Source organism: Homo sapiens, chromosome 1 (assembly GCF_000001405.40).
Source record: "Homo sapiens chromosome 1, GRCh38.p14 Primary Assembly".
Taxonomy (NCBI): Eukaryota; Metazoa; Chordata; class Mammalia; order Primates; family Hominidae; genus Homo; species Homo sapiens.
The window spans coordinates 117,956,555-117,973,926 of record NC_000001.11 but is presented as its reverse complement, the minus strand read 5'-3'; the positions used below and the strand labels follow the sequence as shown (position 1 = coordinate 117,973,926).

General features: G+C 38.2%; 2 protein-coding genes across 16 annotated transcripts in view; one reads left to right on the top strand and one right to left on the bottom strand.

The window, feature by feature from the left end:
* Window positions 1–17,372, top strand: part of SPAG17 (sperm associated antigen 17) — a 231,639-nt gene that overhangs the window by 211,302 nt on the left and 2,965 nt on the right. For 14 of the 15 annotated variants that reach the window (XR_946574.2, XM_006710427.4, XM_006710426.4 and 11 more), the window contains 5 exons: window positions 366–502; window positions 1,880–2,064; window positions 3,811–3,871; window positions 7,174–7,318; window positions 9,989–10,128. Coding sequence is in view for 14 of the 15 variants with exons in the window: in XM_006710427.4 (XP_006710490.1) it covers window positions 366–502; window positions 1,880–2,064; window positions 3,811–3,871; window positions 7,174–7,318; window positions 9,989–10,128 (668 nt within the window). In the remaining variant the exon portion in view is untranslated. Of the gene's footprint in view, window positions 1–365; window positions 503–1,879; window positions 2,065–3,810; window positions 3,872–7,173; window positions 7,319–9,988; window positions 10,134–17,372 lie in introns of those variants that run through there. The other variant, XM_047448722.1, reaches the window with a different exon arrangement.
* The window catches only part of WDR3 (WD repeat domain 3), a 36,805-nt gene continuing 26,816 nt past the window's right edge, over window positions 7,384–17,372 (bottom strand). The window contains exons 25-27 of the mRNA NM_006784.3: window positions 16,731–16,859; window positions 14,924–15,017; window positions 7,384–14,635 (exon numbers count right to left, since the gene is read on the bottom strand). Of these exons, the coding sequence (NP_006775.1) occupies window positions 14,480–14,635; window positions 14,924–15,017; window positions 16,731–16,859 (379 nt within the window). The 3' untranslated portion in view covers window positions 7,384–14,479. The remainder of the gene's footprint in view (window positions 14,636–14,923; window positions 15,018–16,730; window positions 16,860–17,372) is intronic.

The following is a 17,372-nucleotide window of genomic DNA, read 5'->3' as shown; positions in this document are numbered from 1 at the left end:
CCAAAATCACATGTTCTCACTTCAGTAGGAGCTAAATCTTGGACACTCATGGGCATAAAGAGGGGAACAAGAGATGCCGGGGACTCTGAAAGGAGGGAGGAAGGGAGGAGGCAGGCTGAAAAATGTCCTATCGCATACTATGTTCACTATTTGGGCAGCATGATCATGCATTATACCCTTGTAACAAACCTGCAGTAAATCTAAAAGAAAAATTGAAATTAAAATAAAAATAAATAAATAAGCTCTTTGAAAAGCAAAGAAAAAAAGTTTCCAAGTTGGTTTCTGTTGTCATACATTCTGATATTACTTCAAATGTGTTTGAATAAAATGTCCATGTGGCATAATTTAAGCTTTCTCTCTAACAGAAGCAGAATCTTATGAGCCCGTGAAAATTCCAACCCAGTCCTTGCTGCAGGATGTTGCGGGACAAACAAGAAAAGAAAAAGTGAAGTTGCCTCATTATTTGCTGAGTTCCAAGCCTAAGTCTCAACCTCTTGCAAAGGTAAAACAAACATTGGAACAAATTCCCCACAGCCAATCAGCATTTGATGGAATTCTTTATTTTTTATTTTTTTCAATCCTGCTCCTTTTGTAGATTTTATGTAATTCTGATTCATTGAAGTTATTAGTTTCCGGCCACTGTGTACTGCTATTGACCGTATCTACCATCTCACCATGAAGCTCTTTAAACTTACATCTCACACATGTAAACTCAGATGGTGCTTTGGTGGAGCTGGCTCATACAGGCTGCTGGGAGAAATTTTATGAGCCAGTTATCAAACCACTGATAGCTTGAAATCAGCCATGCTGGGAGTACTAGCACCACAAAATTGATAAACACTAGAAATCAGAATTGTTTTCAGAGAGCCAGTTTACCAGCATACTACTACTGGCTAAAGGAATCATTGGCCACCGTTGCCATGACTCTTAGGATAAAATCCAAATGACTTAGCATGAGGATAAGGCCCCATTTGCTTCTTCACCCTCACCCTGAGTCAAACTCACTATAATTCAGCCATTGTAGATTTCTCTTCATTCTTTAAAAATACCAAGGTCCTTTCTTGCTCAGAGCCCCTAAGATTAAGATTCCATCCAGTTCTGTTGGGAAACCTTCTGGAGTCCACCAGTTTTGATAATTATCTTTTTTTTTCTTCCATGGCATACTGTGTTCATCTTCATCACAAAATTTATTGTAATATACATATATATATAACTGACAATATATAAATTACAGTACGTCTCAAATTTTAATGTGCATATGAATTACCTCGGGATCTTGTTAAAATACAGATTCTGACTCACTAGATCTGGTGTAGGGCATGAGATTCTGCAGTTCTAACAAACTCTGAGATGATGTCAGCACTGCTGATGTGAGGAATAATAAGGGCACAGACCAATGTTTCTCAAAGTGTGGTTGCCTGACCAGCAGCATTGCCAACACTAAGAACTTGTTATAAATGCAAATTCTTGGGCCCTGCCCCCGACCAACAGAATGAAAAACTCTGGGGGTAAAGTCAGCAATCTGTGTATTTATGAGTCCTCCAGGAGATTCTGATGGAAGCTAACGTTTGATGACCACTGGCACAGATGAAAGAGCACAGACTCTAGAATCAGGCAAACTTGAGTCTGAATCTTTGCTATGCCACTTACCACTTGAACAATTATCCATCTTTCAGTTCTCTGAACTTGACTTCCTTATCCTTAAAACAAAGCCTAAAATACGTCCTCACAGGACTGTTGTAAGGATGACATGAGACTGTAAACATTCATTTCCTCCAGCAACCCAACAGTTATTTTCCTCTGGTGACAGGGACTTTTTTTTTTTTAATCTTGGGAACTCAAAATAGAACCATTTTATTAATTTTTTCTTAATGCAAAGGTGCAAGATTCTGTTGGAGGAAAAGTGAACACATCCTCTGTTGCATCTGCTGCCATTAATAATGCAAAGTCATCCCTTTTTGGGTTCCATCTTCTCCCATCATCAGTCAAGTTTGGAGTGCTTAAGGAAGGACATACCTATGCCACAGTTGTAAAGCTCAAGAATGTTGGAGTGGACTTCTGCAGGTGAGGCCAAGGGACCAAAGGTCTGCTCAGGTTACCTTTCCCTACCCTGTGACTTGTCTTTGGTCACCTCCATCAATAAATGTTTATTGAACCGAACTGTAATTACTCCTTGAATCTTCACATTATTCATTCAGTCATTTACACACTAACTCATTCATTCATTCATCAACAAATCAGTGAGTGTTTATCGGGTTCCAATTATATGGTAGATACTTCCTTGCCCTCCTAGTCATCATTATTCATACTTTGGTAAAAGCAACTCACATCCTGATTTCTACTAGTGGAAAAAAAGGGGGAGGTTGTACAAAAGTGTTACAGCAACTAATGCACAATAATTGAAAGTCTTTTTCTCAAATCCACTAACTATAATAATACTAGCTGATGTTTGTTTGCACATTATGATCTGAAAGGTGCTTTTAATTACATTGTTTCTGCATAATGGAGGGAAAGACCTTAGAGACTACTATAAAAGGAGAAACTGTGTAACTTGTTGTAACATCTTGTCAGCTAGCAGAGGCCAGACTTCAGATCTCCTGAGTCCCACCATATACTTTGCTTTACTAATGCTTTGTTTTGTGTGAAATTTCAAACCTTTCCATTGGATCGGTAAACCATATACCTCTACCAAACCATTCCCAATTACAAAATGTCCACTATTGTATCTTGAATTAAACATAAGCATGGGTATTACTTCCATTAAAATGGAATATATGTTTATTTCAGTTGCAGCCATTTTCAGAGTTGAGTGGTAAGTCCTTCAAGAATGTTTGTGATTCTGGATTGATGATTGGAAATCAGATAAAAAAAAAACGATAGAAGCATCCAGTTTGAAAGATCCCTGTCCCATTTCAGTTATTTCAGTTGAGGCAAATCCCCAGCTTCAGGAATAACCTTTGCTTCCTGAGAAACAATCTGATGTGGAACTCAGGCCACCAAATCACACGATTGTTTTTTAGGTTGTTGCCAACAAAGTGGGTGGGAAGAAATAGACAGTCAACCTCGAACTAATAAAACTCATTCGTGCGGGTCCTGTCGCTCCAGTATAAAATTTTAGTTTTGGAGATTTCACTCCTCAGCTTGTTAATTCAGCCACGATAGAGCAGACAGCAAGGTTGATGGAGGAAGAAGCAGTGTTGGGGTCAGAGTGGAGGCAGGCTTTCCTTGGCATTTTAATTTACTCCAGGTCTTTAACCTTCAAGCAGACCCCACAAACCACAGGAAGGGAGAGAGATCAATAAGCACCATGTGTGAGCTCGGAGCTTTTCAAGTTCTTCGACATCTTCTGAGCCTTTCTGTTTCTCCTCTCCTCAAACATGCAAACCCCATACCAAGACAGAGCAAGGCTGGCTCCCATGCTCCACTGCCTTCCAAAAGAGCCTTTATTCTTCAACTTAATGACCCGGCTGCCAGCATTTGCGTTCATGCTGGCAGCTACGCTGAAATGCACGCACCAGCCAAACAGTCCCACTGCCCAAGCCTGGGCTGCTCGTCAGCAACCAGTAACAAAGGGTTGAAACTCAGGTTGGAGCCCGTTTTACGCTGATGAAAACTGTTGGAAAGGCAGTTGTGAAATGGGCCCCAGATTCTTCTCCCAATTGAATATTAAAGTTGTTTTTCTAATGGTATGGACCCCCGGCTCCTGTGTAGCAAATATTAACACCTTCCTTATTTTATAACATCCCAGCTTATTCATTGCTCATGGGTTTCATTATGTCATAAATTTATTTTTATCTTTCTGCCTTGTAGGTTTAAAGTAAAGCAGCCCCCACCCAGCACAGGACTGAAAGTGACTTACAAACCTGGACCTGTAAGTCCTATATGTCATCTGTTGTGTGTGCTTGCGTGCATGCAAGTGACTATGTATAGGTTTCCAGTGAAGTGGGCTTTGAAACCATTCTGCCCATTCCTTTTAAACTATGTATAAGTCTACTGTTTTTAATATCATAAGCAAAAGATTTCTCGTAGTGATACAGTATGTGGCTTGATGGCATTCATTCCATGTAGTAACCATGAGACCAATCCAATGCATAAACAGAGTTAAACTGCCAGCTATAGAAACAATTCTGAAGCTCACCTCACTTGTCCCAATATTACAGTTATTTACCATTGTATAAAAACTACCTTTTCAAAAAGTAAATCCTTATGCGAAGTGAAAAATAATTATTCCGTTCTTCATATTTTACGTAAATCTGGTTTGCTCTCTTGGTATTTGTCAGAGAATATTATTTAATGCCATACTAAGAAATCATATTTGTTTATTTATATTTATTTATTTATTTATTTTGAGACAGAGCCTCACTCTGTCACCCAGGTCAGAGTGCAATGGCATGATCTCAGCTCACTGCAACCTCTGCCTCCTGGGTGCAAGCACTTCTCCTGCCTCAGCCTCCTGAGTAGCTGGGATTACAGGCGCATGCCACCACGTCCGGCTAATTTTTGTATTTTTAGTAGAGACAGGGTTTCACCATGCTAGTCAGGCTGGTCTCGAACTCTTGGCCTCTCTATCCACCCGCCTTGGCCTCTCAAAGTGCTGGGATTACATGCATGAGCCACTGCGCCCAACCAAGAAATCGTATTTATTAAACTCATCAATTGCCTCATTTCTCCAAAGATCTCTGAAAATACAAAATACAAAATGTCAACCTGTTCTGACTTTATTTGATACATCCTCCAAAATGGCATGTTTAGTAAAAAAAAATGCATATTAATAGCATATTCTCACTTTAAATTATAATTTCAGAAATATAGGATGATGTAAACGTAAGTTCATCTTAAATAAAGTCACATTTGTCTTTATCAGTGCATCATCTGACTGCTTTAACACCCCTTTTACTTCATACTTCACTCAGCAAATTTTGAGTTCCTCCCATATGCCATTTAAAGTGGTCAGGGCGCAGAGGATGTTAAAAATGAGTAAGACACGTAAGCAGCTTACAGAGCCAGGCACATAGTGGGTACTCAAGAGAGGTGTGATTGAATGACAGAATGAAGTGAGTTAGTCTGGCAGATGTATGACCCATTCATCACAGATGCGAAGAGTGCATAGGCCTGTGAGAACAGTGCACAAAAGTATCCAGTCCTGTTAACAAGCACCCAATGCTCCCTGAGTCTGAAGCTCTTAAAGCAGCCCCAGTTATAGGCTCACACAGAAGGGTTGGTTTGGTGTAGCACCAAGTCAGTTGGCTTCTTGTCACGACTATGCCATCAAGCAGTTCAGTTAATGCTCTGAGCCTTGTTTTCCTCATCTGTAAAGTTCAGACCAGATTATTTCTTAGCCCCTTCTAGCTGTAATATGCTCTATAGAAAACAGTATTATACAGGCTGAAACTCCAAACAGAAACATTTTGGGATTATATCCACTAATTCATGAGTACTCTCCTGAAGTAATTCATCACTGTACTGTGTCAAGATTTCAGAACCTTCACAACATAAAGCAAAAGACAAAAATCAAAACAAGCCCTTCTTCCACTGTTCTGGGAAGTTAGCAAATCTCATTTTAATTTAAAGTAGGGATTATGCCAAAAGCCAAAATGGCTGTTGGATCAACTTTTATAGGTACTAAAAACCCAGCACGTAGTCTTTGAAGCTCACTCTATACCATAAGGTTTTTTTAGTTTATTTTTTTAAGTTTTTGATAGTAGGTTTTGGCTCTGGCAAAAAAAATATAATCTGTAGACTTCCCCATATGTAAATCTAACCACCGTTCAGCTTGGTTAGTTGCCAACACTAAATGAATCTGCTCAAAGCCTGGGCAAACCTGTATGATGGCAGTATTCCAGCTCTCTTCATGCTGAATTTCATCATTACCCAGCCCTGCTCCAACTGCTGGACTTGGAGGAGAAGGGTCTGCTGCTGGATATCCTCCAGTATGCATATGCTCACAAGTACATTGTTGAAAAAACTGTGAAACATTTTCCAATTCTACTATTTATAAAACTATATTGAAGAAAACATTCCATTTGTATCTAATTGCTTTTCATGTGGTAGTTTCAGATTTATTTTTTTCTAGATAACTGTTCCCAAGTCTGCTTTTTAACCCACCTCCTGGAGAGGCAACTTAGAAACATAAATAGCTCTCTCTTTGCTGGCTAGTGTTCTTTTCAAAGAACAAGGCAAGACGCCCATGCCTTGCTGTGTTCCTTCTTCCTTCTGTATCAGGTTTCTTCTTTGTTGGTGCAATCCTCTTCCACGGGTTTTCAAACTAAGCAGTTGGGCATTTAAACTAATTTTATCTCCCTCTACTGGTTTCATTATTTTATGCATCCTGCATTAGGAATACCCTAAAGTCACATTTGTCCAACCCATGGCCCAGGACGGCTTTGAATGCAGCCCAACACAAATTCCTAAACTTTCTTAAAACATGATGAGATTTTTTTGCGATTTTTTTTTAAACTCATCACCTGTCGTTATTGTTAGTATATTTTGTGTGTGGCCCAAGACAATACTTCTTCTTCTAATGTGGCCCAGGGAAGCCAAAATATTGGACACCCCTGCAAGGAACAGGGTAGGAAAGTTATGGTAGTCACCAAGTCTGTTAGATGAATTTTTTTTTTTTTTTTTTTTTTTGAGATGGAGTTTTGCCCTGTCACCAGACTGGAGTGCAGTGGCGCGATCTCGGCTCACTGAAACCTCTGCCTCCTGGGTTCAAGCAATTCTCCTGCGTTCAAGCAATTCTCCTGCCTCAGCCTCCTGATTTATATTTATATTAGATTAAATTTATCTTTGTCTGCAGTAGCCGCTATTGCAGATTTCACTACTGAAAGTCACTACCGACATTCAAAAACTAGCACAATTAGGAGTATTGCAAAATTTTGCCTTCAGTTCCACTTCCAATAACCTGGCATTTAGCTTCCTTATGCTTTTTCCTAAATAGCACCTGGTTTGCCCCTTCAACAATTTACCCTGGCTCCCCTTTACTTAATGGAATTCTACCTTCATTATGAAGTAATTCCGCTAAATGCTTATAATAACTACCATTTGTTAGTGCCAAATTTATAGATGAAGAAACCAAAGGTAAGAGAGTTTAAGTAACTTGCTCAAATTCATATTATTAAAAGCAAGGTTTGAACTCAGAGTTGTCTGGTCCTAAAGCTACCTTGTGTCTTATAGGTGGCAGCTGGTATGCAGACAGAACTGAATATAGAGTTATTTGCCACAGCTGTTGGAGAGGATGGGGCCAAGGGATCAGCACACATCTCTCACAATATCGAGATTATGACAGAGCATGAGGTTCTGTTCCTACCTGTGGAAGCAAATATCCTTTAAAGTTCAACTTGAGTAATCATATATAGTGCAGAAATTACACGAGTGAGGAAAACATGGAAGTCAAAATGCATCTCTACTTTATTAATTCTATCTTCAAAATCAGAGTTAAATTTATTAAGACAAAGAGCATCTTCATTCATCTTTGAAAGCACCTAGCCAAATCTAAAAAAATACCTGACACATAGTATATGTGCAGTAACTTCAGATTGAATAAATGTAAATGTTATTGGCTATCTACGGAATATCAGACAGAATAATAAAACAGCAAGTATCTATCACAAAAAAATTATAATTTTATGGAAGGATAGGAAATACCTTATTATTATAAAGGTTGGGTATTCACTGAATTATGCATGCATTCCTCCTTATCAGTGTCTTCAGCCAAACAGATATTAGATAGATATCAAGAACCTATTACCTCCAAGGTACTGTATAAAATAGTTTATCATATATAAAAATGGATAATTGGACTCTGTCTTAAAAGGTATTATATAATTTGTAGCAGAAATAAAGTCTTCACATTTTATTTCTATTTTGTACTTTCTCCAGTGGCATGAATTGTGTGCTGCTTGTGTTACAGTTCTCTATTTATTTGATTTTTGAGCTGGATCTTATAGAATGTGAAAACTTGATTGACGGGAACTTTAAGTAAAAATAATGAACAAAACCATGGCAACAGGAAAGCTCCAGGTGTTTGGGATGATTGGCAGGGAGTTCAACTTGCCAAAAGCTTGAGTATTAGGAATATAGTGGGAAAGTAGGTTGGAGTCAAGTTATGAAAGATCTTAAATCCTTGGCTTGAATTTTATTATTTAAGCAGCAGTGAACCACTGCAGATTCCTGACCCTGTGGGTGACATGATCAGCATATCTTTATTAAGATGAATCCAGGGTTATTGTGCAGGACATGTCAAAGGGGAACAACTGGATGTGTAAAAGTACCATTAGAAGTCTACCTGAATGGGCCATGTGTGAGGACAAGAACTGGGAGTGGGGGAACAGTCAACATAAAAGAGGGACATGAATGAAAGACATGGTGGGGGAAGGAAACTGCAAAATCTGAGGTAGAAGCCATTGATGGATGGAAGAAAGAGGACATCGAGTTCAACTTCAAAGTTTTGGGCTGAGGTAATGAATCATGTATATGTAATATTAGATCTCAACTGAGAAGTCAGAATTGGAGATATAATAATTTTAAGCATCGTTTACACAGAGGTGATGGCTGAATGTATGGGCAAGGAACAGAAATCTGGAGTCGGTTTAGGGAGCAGGAGGAAGAAGAGCCAGTGGAGACAAAAGCAGCAATTAGAAAATGGTGAAATACTTCAAAAGCCTTAGGAAGAATTTCAAGGAAAAGACGGACACAATTGACGGATGCTATTGAGATGTCAAAGAAAATTCAGATTTAAAGTGTTAAATTTGGTTGGGATAAAAACTAAATTGCAAAAGGTAAAGAATGACTGTATTAAGAAAGCAGAAACATTAGTTATGGATATTCTTTCAAGAAAATTTATTAAAGGAAAGAGCAAGAGAATATGTTACTCAAGGATGCAACAGAATATAGGAAGGATTTTCAGTTTAATGTAGACCTACATGTTTGTAGGCTGAAGAGAGTGGAGCAGAAGATATATATTAAAAATATGAATGAGTAGAAGTGATTGAAACTGCAATATCCAAAACAGGGCAAAAGAATAATAAAAAACAGAGCTGAAGGGTTAGTCTTGGCAAGGGAGAAGCTGAAGATAGCTGATGATTCAGATATTCCGAGGTGAAGGAGAAAGTTAAAGGAACTTGTGTCAGATAGCACTGATGTCAATAAATGAAGTTTAGTTCATTTGTTCATTTATGCTTTCAAAGATGCCGAAACGCCTGCCTTTATGTAGCTTACATTCCAGTGGGAGGACAGACAATACATAAAGTAAGTAAACCATAAACAATGATGGCAGTAAGTACAATGGAGCAAAATATAAAATAGGAAAGGAAAGTCCTCACTGGGAAAGTCTCTCTCCCTTCCTCTCACCTTCCTCCCCTCCCTTTTTCTCTTCCTTTGAGTAATGACAGGGTTTTTCCATTGTGACAGAAGGAAACTAGCCAAAGAACTAGTTTTTTCCTCTGGTAACTAAATCAAGTGCCCTTACCCTCTCCACACAGGTTATTAGATGCAAATACCTGAGTCACTGCTGCTGATCATAGCAATGAAATCATTTGTATTTATAATAAATTTTCTATTTCCCTGCTTATAGATTAGAGAGAACCTGTCAGACACAGATAAAGGGCAAAAAATCTTATCAGATCTTTTATCTACTTACTTACAGTGTCAACAATGATCTGTCCCTCTCCCCACCAAAAAAAAAAAAAAAAAGCATGAAATCTGATGTAGATATGGTTTGGGGCTTGACCATACTGATGGCTCCTTATAGAAAGCCAGTCACAGTTAGGAGAGAAATGTACACTAGGGAGAACAGAAGACATTCTAGACATTGGCATATCCATCCTCTAACCCCCAAGCCTGAGCATGCAGAATTTGCATTGGATAGACAGTTACCTAAAATTGAACTGATGTTGCCAGAGAAGAAATTCTATGATTCTAAAATGTTATTTAGGTTTATATATGCAAATAATTTAGTCATGAAAAGCACAGCCCTTAACAAGTATTTTACCTGTTTTAACAAGCAGCAATTATGATAAACGACCAAAAGACTTTCCCCAGGGAAAAGAAAATCCAATGGTCCAGAGAACTTCTACAATTTATTCCTCCACACTTGGAGTCTTCATGTCTCGTAAAGTTTCTCCACATTAGGTACAGTAAGTAATAAATGGGAATTTGATTGTCAAGCATTCAAATTTGAGGTATTAGACCCCAGGTTTCTTCCCCTCTTCTTATAGTCAGAAACCTATAAGCCACCTGGCCTGAATGAATGAAAATATTTGTTTAGGCCGGGCCCGGTGGCTCACACCTGTAATCCCAGCACTTTGGGAGGCCGAGGTGGGTGGATCACAAGGTCAGGAGATCGAGACCATCCTGGCTAACTTGGTGAAACCCCGTCTCTACTAAACAATAGAAAAAATCAGCCAAGTGTGGTGGCGGGTGCCTGTAGTCCCAGCTACTCTGGAGGCTGAGGCAGGAGAATGGCGTGAACCCAGGAAGCGGAGCTTGCAGTGAGCCAAGATCGTGCCACTGCACTCCAGCCTGGGAGACAGAGCGAGACTCTGTCTCAAAAAAAAAAAAAAAGAAAATATTTGTTTAAATAACTATACTAGTTGCTTCTTTATATATATTATAAAATGTAATGCTCATGCAAGGTAGAATTCAGTGCTTTATACCCTAATCTTGGAAGACACATCCCATTATATTTACTGTATTCTGTTCACTAGAAGCCAGTCACTAGGTCCGACCCCATACTCAAGGGGAAGGGATACACAAGGGCAACACTGCCAGGCCCTATGTAAGAGTTGGGCTCAGTGACTGTTACACAATGTGTACTGTGTTCTAAAAACATACCAGGGCTGCTTGGATCCCAAAAACCTCAGAAATAAAGAGAAAGGACTTGAATATATGGTGATACTACCTTTAAGAACCTTAGCCCCATCTCAAACTTAGGAGCTTAAATTGTGAGGAATGGGGGTGGATTGCAGACAGTAACTGTAAGCCAATGTGGTTTCTTCATTAAGCTTCTGCTCACAACCTCCCTCTCTTTCTGAAGACTAATCTGGCCTGAAAAGGCTGCATTGAGCAGGCTCATCATTTACAGCTAAGTGAATAGAGTCCTATATACAGTCCTGTACCTACCAACAGATACCATTGCTTTCCTGGGCACTGTCCTAGATCTCTGCTGGAGATTTGCTAGATATCTTTAGAATGAGATATAATTTATGACATTTGCCATTGAGAAACAATTTAATACCAAATATACAAAGCACCTAGCTTCCAGCCAGTGAATTTCAAAATTTTTAAGCATATTTTCTCTAAGTGGATGGATATATACATTTTTAAAAATAAGCCTAAATGTTTTACTCCCAATACATCATTCAAGAGCCTTTTTTTTTTTTTTCAATGGAGTCTGGCTCTGTTGCCCAGACTGGAGTGCAGTGGCACAATCTCAGCTCACTGCAATCTCAAAAGGCTTTTCTTTATGGTACTACAGAATTTCTATAGGTAACTTACTTCACAATATGCAAGAGATATTAGTCATTAGATGGTTTTTATATTAAGGATTATATACAGCCAATGGCTGACTAAGGCAATGAATACTGACTTAATGACTAGAAATTTGCCTGGCTTAAAATTTACTTTATAATGCACCTATTGACCTTAAACTTTTAGAGTTAAAGAGTTTCAAGTATTTTGACCAAAAATTGTAACTTGGCTAGGTTCTGTACATGTCACTTTATCATAAAAGTTCTCCTTCTCTTCGATTAGTATAACACTTAGCAGACAGAAACATCTTTACATTCCCTAGCACTATCAGGCTTTTGAGTTATAAATGGTGGCAAAGCTACGGGAAAACAGCAACTTTTAACATAAGAGTAATTATTGATGATGTATACATCTCGAATGCCCTCCTGGAACTTGTTTTGGTTTGGAAACCATCAAAAATGTTACTAGAAAGTGACATTTATGTTCTGATGAGCAACTCTAAGAAGGATATTGAATCAACTTCTGTTCTCATAAAAAATTAAATTTTTTTTCAAGAATTAACTCCTCTCCCTGGTGGCAGGAATAGCTGCCTAAACAACACTGACTCCTTGGAAAGCACCTAGAATGCATTATCCTGCCTGCCTATTCTCTTGCCTTCATAGTTATGCCTTCAGAAACTCTATGCCAAAATTCACTTATTTATTCTGCCCAACAAATAACACCACTGCATCCCTTACTCACTTCAGTGATTGTGTTATGCTCAAGAACATTAAGACTTGTGGTTTGGGACACAAATCGGCAAGCCACAAGGACTGCATATCTGAGCCTAGAAGAAAATGGTGGCCCCACAACACAGTAACTTGGTTGCAATGACCAAATTCAGACAGAAACCATAGTTTTAAATCTTTGGGATTAACAACAACAAAAAAGATAAAAAGCAAAACTGTCTCAAGAAGATACAGAACATCTAAACAGGCCTGTAACAAGAAGTATGATTTAGTCATTTATAAACTTCCCCAAAAGAAAAGCCCAGACCCAGAGGTATCTGTCAATATCTTTTCCTAGAACATTCCCCAAATCCTTACCATGAAGATATACAGTAGACAATCCGTTGAACATGGGTTTTAACCACTTGGCTCCACTGTTATACAGATTTTTTTTTACTATTATTATTTTGGAGATGGAGTCTCACTGTGTTGCCCAGGCTGGAATGCTGGTGGCACTGTCTTGGCTAACTGCAATCTCCGCCTGCCGGGTTCAAGTGATTCTCCTGTCTCAGCCTCCTGAGTAGCTGGGATTACAAGCGCCTGCCACCACGCCCAGCTAGTTTTTTGTATTTTTAGTAGAGATGAGGTTTCACCATGTTGGCCAGGCTGGTCTGGAACTCCTGACCTTGTGATCCGCCTGCCTCGGCCTCCCACAGTGGTGGGATTACAGGCGTGAGCCACTGCACGCAGCCCAGATATTTTCAATAAATATATTGGAAAAATTTTTGGAGATCTGAAACAATGAGAAAAGTTTCAGATGAAAAAAATTAGGAAAAAAGTAGTTATATCATGAATGCACAAAATATATGTAGATACTAGACTATTTTATCATTTACTGCCATAAAATACACGCAAATCTATTATCAACATTAACACACACAAATACAGATCATACATGGTGCAATTCACAGTTTTGGGAGAAATGTAAAATAATGTAAAGATGCAGTATTAAATCATAGCTGCATAAAATGAACTGTAATACACAGTATGTTACTGAAATAATTTCACAGCCACCTCCTGTTGCTATGCAGTGAGCTCAAGTGTTGTGCGTATGCACTTAAAATGCTGTGACACTAATCACCTGTGCATGAACAACTCATCGCCCCAGTAAACTGCATATCACAGTGCTCCCAAAAAGCAGAGAAAAGTCATGACATTACAAGAAAAAGCTGATGCTTGATAAGTACCACAGATTGAGGTCTGCGGCTGTGGTTGCCTGCCAATCCAGACAGACAATTCATTTTATAAACAGATGACATACACTTATAGTATTGATAAACACAGTAAATATATTTTCTCTTCCTTATGATTTTCTAAGTAACATTTTCTTTTCTCTAGCTTACTTTAAGAATACAGTATACAATATATATAATACATCAGTCAGGCTCCCAGTCAATAACAGGCTACTAGTACTTAAGACTTTGGGGAATCAAAAGTTATATGCAGATTTTTGACTGTGCGGGGCGTAGGGGTGGGTCAGTGCCCCTACCACCTGCATTTTTCAAGTGTCAACTATATATATGTATGTGTACATACACATACACATACACACACACACACACACACACACACACACACACACACGAGTGTATTAATTCCTCAGAAGCCCAGCCAGGCATCTTAGCTTGGCTACTTTTTAATTAGAAACAACTATTTTATTCAGAAAAGTATAAACAGTTAGCAATTAGAATCTTCTTATATACAGACATAACTTGCAGAAGGTTAAGTCTGAGGACGCTGTTCTGGGTAATTTTTACAGTCCTTTTTAGCTCTAAGATCCATGACACTGCATTTTTATGGCCAAAGGGCAATCAATTATGCACCTGGTTGTCTCAATAGGCAGTAAAACCTAATATAAATAAATGACAAATCATCTGCCATAAAAAAATACGAAAAACTTTTGAAATGTTAATTTCAACTCCAATGAAACAAATACCTAATTAAAACAATTATTTATTCCCTGCTAGAATATAAAGGGAACAACAAGCTTGAGCTGCAAGGCTCAAGCTTTGAGAGCACAGAAAGATTTTTAAACTAATAATGCATTTTAAGTCCAAGAAATGGAGCCAGCCCATAATCTCATGTTGGAATTCCCTCAGGCAAAGCTGGAAACCACATCCTGATATCATCTGCAATGCGATCTTCTGTTATTTGGTATTTTTAAGATGACGCCAACTCTTCTGTGCTTAGTTTAGGAGTCCTTTAAAGGAAAAAGTTGAAAAAAAAAAAGATACCACATTTCAGTTCTAAGTCAACGTTAGAATCAACTTCTCCCTCTTTTTCCTCTTCCTCTTCTTCTCTTCCAAGTGGCTAGTAGCATCAGCAAAAAACATAACTTCACTTTTTGCCTCGCATTCCCTCTTGAGATAATCAAGACCAGCCATATTGAAGCCGATAACATCCTGGAGTGCAATACAAGAAATATTAAAAAATTTTCTCCCACTTCAATTCATTATAGCAGCGTATGAGAGTTAGGGTAACCAAAGCTTCAGGTGTTGTTACTTATCTTTCCCTCATTAAGAACTTTTCTTGTTTGTTTTTTCTATTCCTACTAATTCTAACAAAAACTATCTCAAATATGGATTTATCGGTGGTGGGTATTGCTAAAGACAAAGCACAGCATACTATACTATTTCTAAATCACACTAGGAATTTGCCTCATTATTTTATCTCTATACAAAGACACTTACCCGGACTTGGCTGACTTTTGAAATAGTTGTTTCCCTTAATTTTTCTATCACTGGCACAAGCATTTGATTGCTAGTGATCTGTCCAAAGTGAATCCTGATAGAAAAACAAAACACAGCCATGTTGCAGAGAGGTTCTAGCCCTACTTAACCCTTCTAGAAACAGTAAACAGACACAATATCAAAGCAACAACAAAATATACATTATAGAAATGTTTCGAGCAAAAAAAAAAAAAAAAGCCAAAGAAGTTTCTTTCTCTACTATTCAGTTCAATTTGATGACAACTTAAAAAATACTGTCCTAAACCTTATGACACATTCAACTCATTTGCAAAGGCTCTTCTTCCAGCCCAGCAACCTGCCAGTGGCTACAGATTTTGACAGTGGTACTTTAAGGAAAACTCAAAGACAGAATGAGCCTTCTAAGAAATGCTAACTTAACAAAGATGCATTAATACTTCTAATAAAGCCACAGCAAAAAAGAGACATTCGTGAGATTCAAACTCTGACCTAGAGTACCAAGATATCCTTGATGACCCTACCATACCTGTCAGGTAGTACCCATCCATAAGCCTCTGATACGCTATAAGTATTCACAGTGTTACTCGTAGAACCAGCAACCCTAATTCAATAGCACGTATACCATAGCAGTAAAAAAAAATTGTTAGTAACATGGTTAAATATGAACTTATGTCTTTACAAGTTGCCCCAAATTATGAATATGGCAACAGAACATATTATTCTTCTTCTCTTGCTACTATCCTGGATAGAGTATAAGAAATGGAGGGTTAAGAATCATAAAACCAGGCCAATTCACCAAATACCTATTTGGTCAGTTCACTACATATACCTGTTTAACTATTTGGCATTGGCTGACCAGTTTTTGTCTTCATAACAGTATTTGAAGGAATGTTCAATTTGTCTCCATCCCTGTTCTCTGCTGTAACCGCTTGAGAATGAGGGTGAGAGATGAGAAGAATATCAAGCCTTTGTGCATATATTCTTCTCAACTACCTATTAACAGAATCTTCATAAGTAAGAATATAGCCTAATGAACATATTTGCTTTATGTTCCTTAGTTTACCTCTATATATGCCCCTACATTTCCATTTGCACCTGTAGAGACCAAGAGAAATAAACTGACTTTCTTAAAATGTTGGTAAAGGACAAAGCAAAACCTGTTAGCTTACACTAAACACTTTAAAACAGGAATGTCCATCCTTTTGGCTCCCCTGGGCCACACTGGAAGAACCGTCTCGGGCCACACATAAAATACACTAATGATAGCTGATGAACAACAACAACAAAGAAATCACAAAAAAATCATAATGTTTTAATAAAGTTTACAAATTTGTGTTGGGCCACATTCAAAGCCATACTGGGCCACATGTGGCCTGCGGGCCACAGGCTGGACAAGGTTGGCTTAAAAGAAACAACAAATGAGGCAAACTGGCCAATCATAATTGGCTTTTGGCAAACTGACTAGAACCAGAGCTATCTTAAGATTGTAACATGGAGGCCTATGACTGAGTAAGCATTCCTGAGCAATGTATTACCATGACTTCTTACTTAAAGAGGTGGGTCATCATGATCCTTGTTTTAAAGGCAAGACTGATTGCTTGGGCTGGTAGCAAACTTCTGGGCTCAAGCAATCCACCCACCTCAGCCTCCCAAAGTGCTGGGATTACGGGTGTGAGCCACCGAGTTCGGCATACTATTTCTTAATCCCAAAGTGTTGACAGCTTCAGTTAAGGTACTACTGAAGCAGTTCTGCTGAACAGACATGGTATTCTTTGGAAAAGGATGTTACCTAAGGAGGAAGAAGAGGCACCGGCATATAAGTTCAACATCAGAGCCCAGCTGAATGAATTCGTTAAAGAGTTTAAGAATGTCTGGGACATAAGAGAAAGGCAGCACAAGTAGAGATTCTTCCAGCTCACTGAAAAAGAAAAAATAAATATAAAAATGCCACATTTGTTAACGTTGTTAACATGGTCAATTTTTAAATCCTTCCCTTTATTATTTTTTCTACTGATTTTATACTTGGATACATCTTGCCTAGAGTTAAATATTCATCTGTAAGCTAGATGACTCTCTTTGTTTTTTGTATTTAATATCTTAATCTATTTGGAATGCATTTTGGTCAATGGCATGATGGGAAAATCTAACTTTTTTTCCTTCCAGATAAACAATATCTCCAAAGCCTTTTGTTGAATATTCCATCTTCATATGATATTCTTTTACCATATATTGAGTCCATTAGAGTCTATTATGATGACTGATCCTGACATGATGATTGATCCTGACACCAATGCTACACTATTTTAATTTTGCTAATTTTGTAGCCTTTTAATCTGGGAAAATAGTTCCCTCTAGAACTAGCTCAAGTATTATTATTTCATCAATTCCAATTTAAAATCTTAAGAGGATATCAAATGGGATTACAAACCTA